General features: G+C 38.8%; 1 non-coding gene across 1 annotated transcript; it reads left to right on the forward strand.

Moving 5' to 3' along the window:
* Positions 1-6,886: 6,886 nt before the first annotated feature.
* Positions 6,887-6,990, forward strand: LOC124906147 (small nucleolar RNA U13). The gene has a single exon (XR_007088736.1). It is a non-coding gene; the product is annotated as a small nucleolar RNA U13 (small nucleolar RNA).
* Positions 6,991-13,549: the final 6,559 nt, after the last annotated feature.

The raw sequence follows: 13,549 nt of genomic DNA on the forward strand, positions 1-13,549 counted from the left end.
GGAAGTCAGCAAGCTCTGGCCAGCAGGGAGTGGACTCTGGGCTTCTTGACTACCACATGTTTCCACAATGCACAGTTTGATTACCTGGGCCCCTGCCTTGTCTTTCCAATAAATGCCCCATGGACACGCACATTCTCTCTACTCCCTCCTGGAATCCCACCAACGTGATCGTAAAGGAATGCAAGAGGCACAAACTACGAGGGAAGAGAGAATAAGAGAGGAGATGACAGTGGACAAGAGATATCTACAAAATTCTAGAAGCTGCAAAACAGATGAATTAGTAGTAACTGACTTAGTGGAGAGAAGAATAACCTTTCTTCAGTAGGCTAAACAAACTAGGAGACAGCAGCTAGTAAGAGATGCCAAAAAAGTTCTAAAAATGTGAAAACAGAGAGATGAATGGTATCTGACTGAGAAGAGAGAAGAAAAGTGAATCTGACTTCCTTCAGTAGGACCAGCTAGATATAATTTCCTAGAGCTAAAGAATATATGTATAATTTCCCAGAGCTAAAGAATATATATATATATATATATATATATATATATATATATATATATATATATATATTTTAGAGACAGGGTCTTGCTCTGTTGCCCAGGCTGAAGTGCAGTGATGCAATCACAGCTCACTGCACCCTTGACCCTCTCCGCTCAAGCAATTTTCCCACCTCAGCCTCCCAAGTAGCTGGGACTACAGGTGTGGATCGCCATGCCTGGCTAATTTTTGGTACTTTTTTGTAGAGATGGCATTTCACCATGTTGCCCAGAATGGTCTCAAACTCCTGAGCTCAAGCATTCCACCCACCTCGGTCTCCTAAAGACGACATTTTTAAATAGAAAAGGTTCTCCAAATGCCCAACATAATGTTGGACATTTGAAAAAAAAAGTACATTGATATAAAATTTGATAATAGTAAGTATGAAAAAGATATCCTGAAAGGTTTTTTCTGGGGTTTTTTTGTGTTTGTTTGTTTTGTTTTTGTTTTTTTTTTCAGAAGGGGAAGGAATCAATCAGAAAACTAGAAGCTAAAAACACATGGATGTACTTTCTTAAACATTCTGAGGGAAAATAATTTTCAAATGTAGAATATTATACCCAGCCAAATTATCAATCAAATGTAAATTGAGAAAAAAACCTCAGACTTGAAAGATCTCAAAAGCTTATGTCCATAAATTCTTCCTCAGGAAGTTGCTGCAGAAAATACTCCATCAAAATGAGAGTTAAGACAGAAAAAGACATGGGACATGGCAAAGATTTACCCTAGGAACTAGATTTACCCTCCCACCTGAAACAAATATAGAACCAGACCAAATGTAAGAAACAACAGCTCTGAAGACATTAGACATTGGGTAACAAAGACCAGTGAAACAAATAGAGCCTTACAGGCAGGGAGAACACATCCAGACAGAAGCCAAGGGCTTCTTTGAGTTTGAGGAGATGAAGCGGCACATCTGGGGAAATGTCCTGGAAAAACCAAGGGAGCCAACATTCATAGAATTGAATACCCGTGTACAGAGCGCTGCACAGAAAGGGAACTTCAAAGATCTGAAGAGAGTTCCTTTAAGAATTCAATTGAGTACTTACCAGTGCGTACAGGTGAGGAAACTCCCCAAGGTCAGGGAAAGAAAGCACTAGAGGGAACTGTGCTGGGGCCAATGCCTGCTCCATCAGATTGGAACAGCTCAAAATTCATAAAGCATTAGCTAGAGTACCAAGGAGGATCTTGCCCCAGTCAGGGAGAAAAGTTGACCCTAGACTAACCATTGCTTTGTTCCAGCCTAATAAAGATTAAAAGCAAGAACCAAAAGGAGCACATTGTTTCTGTGTAATTTAACCTCATCCCAGAACAAAGTTCAACAATATTTTTAAAGGTCGGGCATGGCGGCTCATGCCTGTAATCCTAGCACTTTGAGAAGCCAAAGCGGATGATCACTTGAGCTCAGGAGTTCGAGACCAGCCTGGGCAACATAGTGAGACTTTGTCTCTAAAAAAAAAAAAAAAAAAAGAAAGACAGAAATATTATTAGGAATGAAAATATATCCAGCACCCAACACTAATAAAATTCATAATATTTGGGATCCAATTTAAAGGAAAATGAAACCCATACTGAAGAGAAAACTCATTTATGGAAACTCACCCAGAAATAGCACAAATGATAGAAATAGTAGACAAAGACATTAAAATCATTATAGGGCCAGGCACGGTGGCTCATGCCTGTAATCCCAGCGCTTTGAGAGGCCTATGCAGGCAGCAGATTGCTTGAGCTCAAGAGTTTGAGACCAACCTGGGAAAATGGCTAAGCCCTGTCTCTATTAAAAATACAACAAAGTTAGCCAGGAGTGGTGGTGTGCACACATATAGTCCCAGCTACTTGGGAGGCTGAGTTGGGGGAATTGCTTGAACCTGGGAGGCAGAGGTTGCAGTGACTCGAGACCATGCCATTGCACTCCAGCCTGGGTGACAGAGCGAGACTCCATCTCAAAAAAAAAAAAAAAAAATTGTTATAACCACATTTTACATCTCTAAGGAGTTAGACAAAAGATTGAACAAGTTTAGTAGAGAGACAAAAGATATAACTAAGATCCAAACAGAATCTCCAAAGAGAAAAACTTTTTATATCTGATACGAAAAGTACATTGGAAGGGAATAATGGCGGATTGTATATTACAGAAAAAAAAGATTAGCAAACTTGAAGATGCATCAATAAAAAGTATTCAAAATGAAACACAGGAAAAAAAAAGACTGAAACACAAATAAACAGAGCATTAGTGAAGTGTAGGACAACTTCAAGCAATCAAACATAAGTGAGGGCTACTGTAAAACATACTTCACCAGCAAATGATCCACAGCTCCTGCTACACATGTCGTCATGTAAACCCCTCATCGAATGTGAGCTGTGCTTAGTGAGTGACTTCCAGAGAACAGGATAAGGGAAATGTGATGGTGAGTGACTTGGACACCAGCGTTCCCAAAGAAAGGGAAAGTGGGGGACAGAAAAATATTTGAAGCCAGGTGAGGTGGCTCACGCCTGTAATCCCAGCACTTTGGGAAGCTGAAGCGTGCAGATCACCTGAGGTCAGGATTCGAGACCAGCTTGGCCAACATGGTGAAACCCTGTCTCTACTAATGACACAAAAATTAGCTGGGCGTGGTGGCCTGTGCCTGTAATCGCAGCTGCTTGGGAGGCTGAGGTATGAGAATTGCTTGAACCCCAGAGGAAGATGTTACAATGAGCTGAGATTGCACCACTGCATTCCAGCCTGGGGGACAGAGTGAAATTGTGTCTCAAAAAGAAAAAGTATATATACATATTTTTTTTTAAAGAAATAACAACAAAAACCTTCCAGATTTGATAAAAATTATAAACCCACAGATTTAAGAAGCTAAAACAAACATGGAAAAAAAAAAAAACCTATACCAAGCCATAGTATCATCAAATTGTTTAAAACTAGTGATGAAAAGAAAAATCCTGAAATTAGCCAGGGATGGGGGAAGGGCACATTGTATACAACAGAAAAAAGACACGTGAATATAGCAAATTCCTCATTAAAAACAATGTAAGCTTAAAGACAGTGAAGCAACATCTTTAAAGCATTGAAAGAAAGGAAAAACTGTCAACACAGAATTCCACATGCAGTGAAATTATCTTTCTAAAAACAAGGATAAAATAAAGACTTTTTCAGACATAAAAAAGCTGAAATAATTCATCACCAGCAGACCTGCACTATAAGAATCGTTAAAGGAAATACTTCAAGCAGAAGGAAAACGATACCAAATGGAAATCTGGATTTACACAAAAAAATGAGAAGCACTAGATATGGTACATACATGGATAAATATAAAGGCTAATATTATTATTTTTGTTATTGACATTTTTAAAAGGTAAAAGTGATTGACGCAAAAATATTAACAATGTATTTTGATGTTTGTTGTTAACATATATACAGGTAAAATATATGAGAATAATATCACAAAGTCCTAGAGGGAAAAAATAGAAGTATATTGTTGTAAGGTTCTGATACATGAAGTAGTATAATATCCCTTGAAGACAGCTGTAGAAGTTAAAGATATATACTATAGACTGTAAAGCAACCTCTAAAATAACATCACAAACAGTTATAGCCACCAGGCTAACAAAGTTGTTACAAAGGAATCATAAACAATATTCAATGAATTAAAAATAATGTGTAAAGAGGGGGAAAATGAAACAAAGAACAGGTGGTAGAAATAAAAAAATAAGATAATAGATTTGAACATAAACATATCAATAATTATATTAAATGTAAATGGTCTAAATATCTTGTGGTTGCCAGCCTCCAAGATGGCCAGCATTGAGGCCCATCTTCTGGTATTTCCACCGCCATATTAGCTTCTTCCATAGAGCATGGACTGAGCTTTGTGACTTACTAAGCAAAGGATAAGGCAGGTGGGATGATGTGTAATTGGTGACTAGGCCATAAAGGGCAGGGCAGCATTGCATTCTCTCTCTCTTTTTCTCTCTTTTTCTCTCTCTCTCGCTCTCTCTCTAAGGGCAGAGCAGCATTGCATTCTCTCTCTCTCTCTCCCTTTTTCGTCTCTTTCTCTCTATCTCTTCCTCTTTCTCCCAGTATCAGTATCAGCTATGGGGAAAGCCATGCTGAGAACAGTCCCATGGAGAGGCCCACATGGTAAGAAACTATAGCTTCCTGCAAACAGCCTCCTGGATGAGCTCAGAAGTGGGTTCTTCAGCCCCAGTCAAATCCTCAGAGTCTGCAGCCCCATCTTGATCGCAACCTTAGGAGAGAGATCTGCCCAGATAAGTTGCTTCAGATTTTGGACCCTCAAAACCTGAAAGATGAAAAAATGTTTGGTTCTTAAGCTATTATGTATTGCGGTAATTTGTTACACAGTAGTAGATAACTAACATACACCTTAATTAAAAAGCAGATATTGTCAGACTAGGTTAAAAAGTAAGACCCACCACTTTATACCCATTAGGATGACTATTATGTTAAAATTAAAAACAAAACAAAATTAAAAGATAGAAAATAACAAGTGTTCACAAGGATGCTGAGAAATTGGAACCCTGGTGCATCAGTGGTGGGAACATAAAATGGCGCAACCACTGTGGAAGTTTCCTCAAAAAGTTAAACATTGTGTGACCACATGATCCAGCAATCTGCTTCCAGGCATATTTCAATTTCCAAAGAATTGAAAGCAGGAACTCAGGTGTTTGTACAGCAGTGTTTATAGCAGCATTGTGCACAGAAAACAAAAAGTGAAAATGGTCTATAATCCCAGGACTTTGGGAGGCTGCGGCGGGCTGATCACTTGAGGTCAGGAGTTTGAGACCAGCCTGGACAACATGGTGAAACCCTATCTCTATAAAAAATACAAAAATCAGCCAGGTTGTGGTGGTGTGTGCCTGTAATCCCAGCTACGTGGGAGGCTGAGGCAGGAGAATCGCTTGAATTCAGGAGGTGGAGGTTGCAGTGAGCCGAGATAGTGCCACTGCACTCCAGCCTGAGTGACAGAGTGAGACTCTGTCTCAAAATAAAAAGGTGAAAATAACCCAAACGTTCATTGATAGAAGAATGGATTAACAAAATGTAGTATATACATGCAACAGAATATTACTCAGCTTTAAAAAAATAAAATTCTGACGTATGCTACAACATAGATAAACCTTGAAGACATTATGTTAAGTGAAAGAAGCCAGGCCAGGCGTGCTGGCTCACGCCTGTAATCCTAGCACTTTGGGAGGCCGAGGCTGGTGGATCACAAGGTCAGGAGTTCAAGACCAGCCTGGCCAAGATGGTGAAACCTCATCTCTACTAAGAATACAAGAAATTAGCAGGGCATGGTGCAGGCGCCTGTAATCCCAGCTACTCAGGAGGCTGAAGCAGAGAATTGCTTGAACCTGAGAGGCAGAGATTGCAGTGAGCCAAGATTATGCCACTATACTCCAGCCTGGGCGACAGAGCAAGACTCTGTCTCAAAAAAAAAGAAAGAAAAAGAAAAAAGAAAGAAATCAAACATAAAAGGACAAATACTCTGATTCCACTTATATGAGGTACCTAGAATAGTCAAATTCATAGAGGCAGAAAGTACACTAGAGGTTACCAGGGGCTGGGAGTGGAAAGGTATTATTTAATAGGTTCAGAGAGTCATTTGGGATGATGAAAAAGTTCTGGAAATGGAGAGCAGTGATAGTTGTACAACATTGTGAATGTACTTACTATCACTGAATTGTACACTTAGAAAGGGTTAAAATGGTAAATTTTATGTTATGTAAATTTTACCATAATAACAAAAGTGAAAAAAAACCAAGACCCAATGACAGACTGCCTATGAGAAACCTATTTTAATATATAGATACAAATAAGATAAAAGCAAAAAAAGGGAAGTACATATGCTATGCTAACTGTAATCAAAAGTAAATGAAATGGTTATATTAATATTAATACAAAACCATGTAGATTTCAGGCAAAGAATATTACTGGGTATACAGCAGGTCAATACACAAGAGGTTACAACATCCTAAATACTTATGTGCCTTAATAACCAAGCTTAAAAATAAATAAAGTGACCGAGCACAGTGGCTCATGCCTGTAATCCCAGCACTTTGGGAGGCCAAGGCTGGCGGATCACTTGAGGCTAGGAGTTCGAGACCAGCCTGGCCAACATAATGAAACCCCGTCTCTATAAAATATACAAAAAAACTAGCCAGGTGTGGTGGCTCACACGTGTAGTCCCAGCTACTCAGGAAGCTGAGGCAGGAGGATTGCTCGAACCTTGGAGGCAGAGGTTGCAGTGAACCGAGATCGTGCCACTGCACTCCAGCCTGGGTGACAGAGTGAGACCCCTGTCTCGAAAAATTTTTGAAATTGAAAAAATAAACGAAGTGACCCTTTTGTAGTTCATAAGCATGATGATTGAGTTTTCAGGTGCATGGGTGAGATGTGCCTCCCTCAAATCTTGTTCAGACATTGGCACATTACCTCTCTGATGGGAAGAGAAATAATTAAATTAAATTAAATAATAAATTAAGCAAAAACTAATAGAATTGCAAGGAGAAATAGCCAAGTCCACAATTATGGTCTGAGAACTTGCTGACCCTCTCTCAATAATTATAAAACAAGAAAACATATAATTAGTGTGAATACAGATGACTTGAAAACACTATCAACCAAACTGACTTAATAGACATTCATAGAACACTCCACCCAGTAACAGCAGAATATACACGCTTTTCAAGTGCACATGAACATTTATCAAGATAGACCATAATCTAGGCCATAAAACAAGTAAGTCTCAGTATACTTTTTTTTTTTTTTTTGTGAGGGAGTCTCGCTCTGTCACCCAGGCTGGGGTGCAGTGGTACCATCTCGGCTCACTGCAACCTCTGCCTCCCAGATTCAAGAGATTTTCCTGCCTTAGGCTCCCAAATAGCTGAGATTATAGGCACCTGCCATCATGCCTGGTTAATTTTTGTATTTTCAGTAGAGACAGGGTTTCACCATTTTGGCCAGGCTGGTCTTGAACTCCTGACCTCAGGTGATTCGCCTGCCTCGGCCTTCCAAAGTGCTGGGATTATAGGAGTGAGCCACCATCCCTGGCCTTCAGTATATTTTTAAAAATTCAAGTCTTTACAAAGTATATTCTCTGACCACAATGAAATTATAAATTAATAGTAAAAAGATAGCTAGAAAATCCAAAGTATTTGGAAACTAAATAACACACCTCTGAATAATCTGTGATTGAAAGAGGAAGTCTCAAAGTAAATTTAAAAATATTTTCCACTAAAAGAAAATGAAAACAAAGCAGTATTTAGAAATTTATAATACTAAATGATTAAATAAAAAAGAAGGTCTCAAATCCAGGACCTCATCTTTCACCCTAAGAAACTAGAAAGACAAGAACAACTGAAGAAAAGAAAGTAGACGAAAGAGAGATCAAAGAAAAAATCAATAAAATACGCCTGTAATCCTAGCACTTTAGGGGGCCGATGTGGGTGGATCACTTGAAGTCAGGAGTTCAAGACCAGCCTGGCCAACATGGTGAAACCCCATCTCTACTAAAAATACAAAAATTAGTCAGAAATTGCTTGATCCCAGAAGATGGAGGTTTCCGTGAGCCGAGATCACCCCACTACACTCCAGCCTGGGCAGCAGAGTGAGACTGTCTCAAAAAAAAAATGTAATAAAATAGAAAATCATATAAATAATAGTGAAAATCAGTGAAACCAAGGGCTGGCTTTTCGAGATCAATAAAATTGATAAACTTCTAGCCAGATGATGAGGAAAAAATAAATATGAAAGTTGATCATAAGAATTGGGTTATTCTTGTCATTCCCAACTAAAACAGAGTCAAGAAGCCACCGGAGGAAAATCACTCAGGGTATAAAACGTTACTCTGAGAATGTAATTCTCGTAAGTATGGCTGCTGAAACTGCCTGTTGTAACCTAAAACCAGTTTTATCTATAGCTTCTGAGATAATTTGCTGCAACTCTAGAACTAATTTTGCCCATCACTGTTGCTCACCTATTTGGGCTTCCCAACTTTACAAACCTTTACTAGTGGCAATGAACTTTCTCAAAGAGCAATATGTGACATTTCTTCTTCTTTTTAATAAAACCTCTAACCTTGCCTTTGCTCTTCAGACATACCAAAGGCCACCTGGTCTGTGTGTATGCCCTAAATTACAATTTTCTCTTCCCAAATAAAACATTAAGTTTAGAGATTCAGCTCTACATCTTTATTTTGATTTCAATATACAAAACACAAATAGTCAATATCAGCAATGAGTGAGGTGACATCACTACAGATCCTCTAGGTATTAAAAGGATAATAAAGAAATATTATGAGCAATTCTATGCCAATAAATTTGAAAAATTAAATGAAATAGATAGATTTCTAGGAAGACAAACTACCAAAGCTTACTCAAGAAAAAATGGATAACATAATGACATTATGCCTTTTAAATAAATTGAGTTTGTTGTTAAAAACTTTCCCACAAAGAAAATTCCAGGCCCAGATGGTTTCACTGGTGAGTTCCAGCAAACTTTTAAGGAAACATATGAACAAAATCTTCCAGAAAACTGAGTCAGAAAAAATAATTACTAACAGATTCTATGAGACCAGCATTCAATAATATCAAAACCAGATAAAGGCATTACCAGAAAATTTGATGAATTTCCTTCATGAACATATGCAACAATTGTTAACAAAATTTTAGCAAATTGAATCGAACAATGTATAAAAAGGATAATACATCAACAGCCAACGCAGTTTATTCCAGAAATACAAGTTTGTTCTCATATTTGAAAATTAAGTAATGTAATCCACCACGTCAACAGACTAAACTCCAAACCAAAATGAAGCAAGAAAGCGTATGATTATCTCTAGTAGATGGGAGGAAAAGCATTTGACAAAGCCCGACCCCTATTTCTGACAAAAATTCTCAGCAAACCAGGAACATTGGTAAACTTCCTCAATCAGATAAAGGGTATCTACAAAAACTCTACAACTAACATCATGGAAAGACTGAATGCTTCCTTCTTACGATCAGATTTAAGGCAATGATGACCCCTCTCACCATTTCTATGTAACATTTGTACTGAATGTTGAAGCCATTGCATAAAGCCAAGAAGTATTAAAAGGTATCTAGATTGGAAAGGAAGAAATAAAACTGTGTTTATTTACAGAAGATGTGATCATCTACATAGAAAATTCTTCTGAATCCACATAAAAGCTACTAGAACTACCATATAGAGGGTAAAATTACACCACTGTATAACTCAGACATTCCACTCCTGGACATTTACTCAAAAGAAATAAAGACATATGTTAATAAAGTGAGTTTAGCAGAGTTGCAGGACACAAGACTAAATATATAAAAATCAGTGGTATTTCTAGATTCTCACAATAAAGAGTCAGAAATTGAAGTAAAATTAATACCATTTACAATAATAGCACCAAAAATATTAAGTACTAAAGGATAAATCTGACAGGAGATGTGTAAGACCTATATACTGGGAACTACAAAATGTTGCTGAAAGAAATTAAAGAAGACTTAAATACATGGAGAGAAATATATATTCATGGATTGAATGACCCAATATCCTTAAGAGGTCAGTTCTCACTAAATTGTTCCAAACTCAACACACTTTCAATAAAATTCTAGCAAGCTTCTTTGGTAGAAATTTAACATATTGGCCAGGCATGGTGGCTCACTCCTGTAATCCCAGCACTTTGGAAGTTCGAGGCGGTGGATCACTTGAGGCCAGGAGTTTTAGACCAGCCTGGCCAACATGGTGAAACCCCGTTTCTACTAAACACACAAAAATTAGCCAGGCATGGTGGCGCATGCCTACAATCCCAGTTACTCAGGTGGCTGAGGCAGGAGAATCGCTTGAAGCTGGGAGGCAGAGGTTGCAGTGAGCTGAGATTGTACCACTACACTCCAGCCTGGGCGACAGAGTGAGACTCTCTCAAACAAAGAAGAAAAGATAAACAAACAAAAAAAGAAAATTGACATGTTAATTCTAAAATTAATATGAAAATTTAAAAATTTAAAATACCAAAGTAATTTTGAAAAATAACAAAGCTGGAAACTGGTCTTGCCTGACTTTGAGACTTGTAAAGCTATAAAAATTAAGACAGTGTGATAATAATCTCAAACTATACAAATAGTTAAATATGACAGAACAGGTAGACCCACATATATATAGATAGCTGATTTTCAAGAGACATGCAAAGTTAATTCATGGGCAAAAAGATAGTCTTTTCAATAAATGGTGTTAAAATAATGGTTATTCATATGCAAAAAAAATGAACATTGATCCATACATCACACCATACACAAAATTTAACTCAAAATGTATTGGAGACTTAAATGTAAAACCTAGAACTACAAAAAACTTAGAAGAAAAAAATAGAAAAAGATCTTTGTGGTCTTGAGTTAAGCAACAATCTCTTAGATACAATACCAAAAACACAATACATGAGGGGAAAAAAAACAAAAACAGATAAATGGACTTCTTCAATATTAAGAACCTCTTCTCTTCAAGCCAGGTGTAATGGTTCATGCCTGTAATCCCAGAGTTTGGGGAGGCTGAGATGATCGTTCAAGGCCAGGAGTTCCAGACCAGCTTCAGTAATACAGTGAGATTAAAAAAAATTTTTTTAATTAGCCAGGTATGGTGGTATGTGCCTGCATTCCCAGCTACTCAGGAGGCTGAGGTGGGAGGATCACTTGAGCCCAGAAGTTTGAGGCTGCAGTGAGCTATGATTGCACCACAGTATTCCAGCCTGGGTGACAGGACAAGATCTTGTCTCAAAAAAAAAAAAAAAAAAAAAAATTTCTGTTCTGCTCTTCAAAATCACTGTTACAAAATACAAGCCACAGGCTAGGGGAGAATATTTGCAAAGCACATATGTGATAAAGCACTTGTATTCGCAATATACACAGAATTCTCAAAACTGGATAATAAGAAAACCAACAACTTCACAATAAAATGAGCAAAAGATATGAACAATAAAGAAGATATATGGATGGCAAATATGCACATGAAAATAAGCTCAGCATTGTTTGTCATTACAAAATGGAAACTGAAACCTCAATAGACACCACTGAATAGAATGCGTGAAATTTAAAAGACTGATCATACCAAATATTAGTAAGCATGTGGAACAACTGGAACTCTCACTCACTGCTGGTGAAAAGCTAATATGGTACAAATATTTTGGAAGATGAAATGGCTGGGCTGTGTCCCCACCCAAATCTTATCTTGTAGTTCCCATAATTCCCACATGTTGTGGGAAGGACCTGGTGAGAGATGACTGAATCATGGGGGCAGGACTTTCCCATGCTGTTCTCGTGATAGTGAACGGGTCTCACAAGATCTGATGATTTTTAAAAACAGGAGTTTCTGCACAAGCTCTCTCTCTGCCTGCTGCCATCCACCTAAGATGTGACTTGCTCCTCCTCGCCTTCCACCATGATTGTGAGGCCTCCCCAGCCATGTGGAACTGTAAGTCCAATAAACCTCTTTCTTTTGTAAATTTCCCAGTCTTGGGTATGTCTTTATCAGCAGTGTGAAAACAGACTAATATAGAAGATAATTTGGTAGTTTCTTAAAAAACAACAATATAGCCAGGAGTGGTGGCTCATGCCTGTAATCCCAGCACTTTGGGAGGCCAAGGCAGGCGAATCACCTGAAGTCAGGGGTTCGAGACCAGCTTGGCCAGCATGGTGAAACCCTGTCTCTACTAAAAATACAAAAATTAGCTGGGCGTAATGGCGCACGCCTGTAATCCTAGCTACTCGGGGAGCTGAGGCAGAAGAATTGCTTGAACCCAGGAGGCGGAGGGTGCAGTGAGCCAAGATTGTGCCACTGCACTCCAGCCTGGGCGACAGAGTGAGATTCTGTCTCAAAAAATAATAAGAAGAAAATAAAATAAGAAAATACACCTCTATATGACCTAGCTCCTAGATATTTATCCAAGAGAAATGAAGGCATATAGCCATACAATGAATTTTACATGGCTGTTCATAGCAGCTTTATTTGTAATAACCAAACAATAGAAGCAACCCAAATGTCCTCAATAGGAATGAATAAGCAAAGTATAAGACATCTAAACAAGAGACTACTACTCCACAATAAAACGCCATGAACTGTTGATAGAAATGGCAATGCAGGTGGGGTGCAGTGGCTCATGCCTGTAATCCCAGCACTCTGGGGGGCCGAGGCAGGTGGATCACCTGAGGTCGGGAGTTTGAGACCAGCTTGATCAACATGGAGAAACCCCGTCTCTACTAAAAATACAAAATTAGCCAGGCGTGGTGGCACATGACTGTAATCCCAGCTACTCGGGAGGCTGAGGCAGGAGAATCGCTTGAACCTGGGAGGCGGAGATTGTGGTGAGCTGAGACCACGCCATTGCACTCCAGCCTGGGCAACAAGAGTGAAACTCTGTCTCAAAAAAAAAAAAAAAAAAAAAGAAAAGAAAAGAAAAGAGAAGAAAAAAAAGAAATGGCAATTCAGATAAATCCCAATATAATTATGCTGAGAGCTGGACATGGTGGCACAGGCCTCTGTTCTCAGCTACGCAGGAGACTGAGGTGGGAGGATCCCTTGAGCCCAGAGCTCGAGGCCAGCCTAGGAAATATAGCAAGGCCTCATCTCTCTCTCTCTCTATATATATATATACTCTCTATATATGTATATATATATATATACATACTGAGTAAATGAAGCCAGATCAAAACAAGTACATACTGTATGAATCCATTATATAAAACTCTAGGCCGGGCACTGTGACTCACGACTGTAATCCCAGCATTTTGAGAGGCTTAGGTGGATGGATCAACCTAGGTCAGGAGTTCGAGACCAGCCTGGCCAACATGGTGAAACCCCTAAAAATACAAAAATTAGCTGGGTGTGGTGGCGGGTGCCTGTAATCCCAGCTACTCGGGAGGCTGAGGCAGGAGAATCGCTTGAACCCTGGAGGTGGAGGCTGCAGTGAGCTGAGATTGTGCCATTGCACTTCAGTGTGGGCAACAAGA

The sequence above is a fragment of the Homo sapiens genome, chromosome 2 (genome assembly GCF_000001405.40).
Source record: "Homo sapiens chromosome 2, GRCh38.p14 Primary Assembly".
Taxonomy (NCBI): domain Eukaryota; kingdom Metazoa; phylum Chordata; class Mammalia; order Primates; family Hominidae; genus Homo; species Homo sapiens.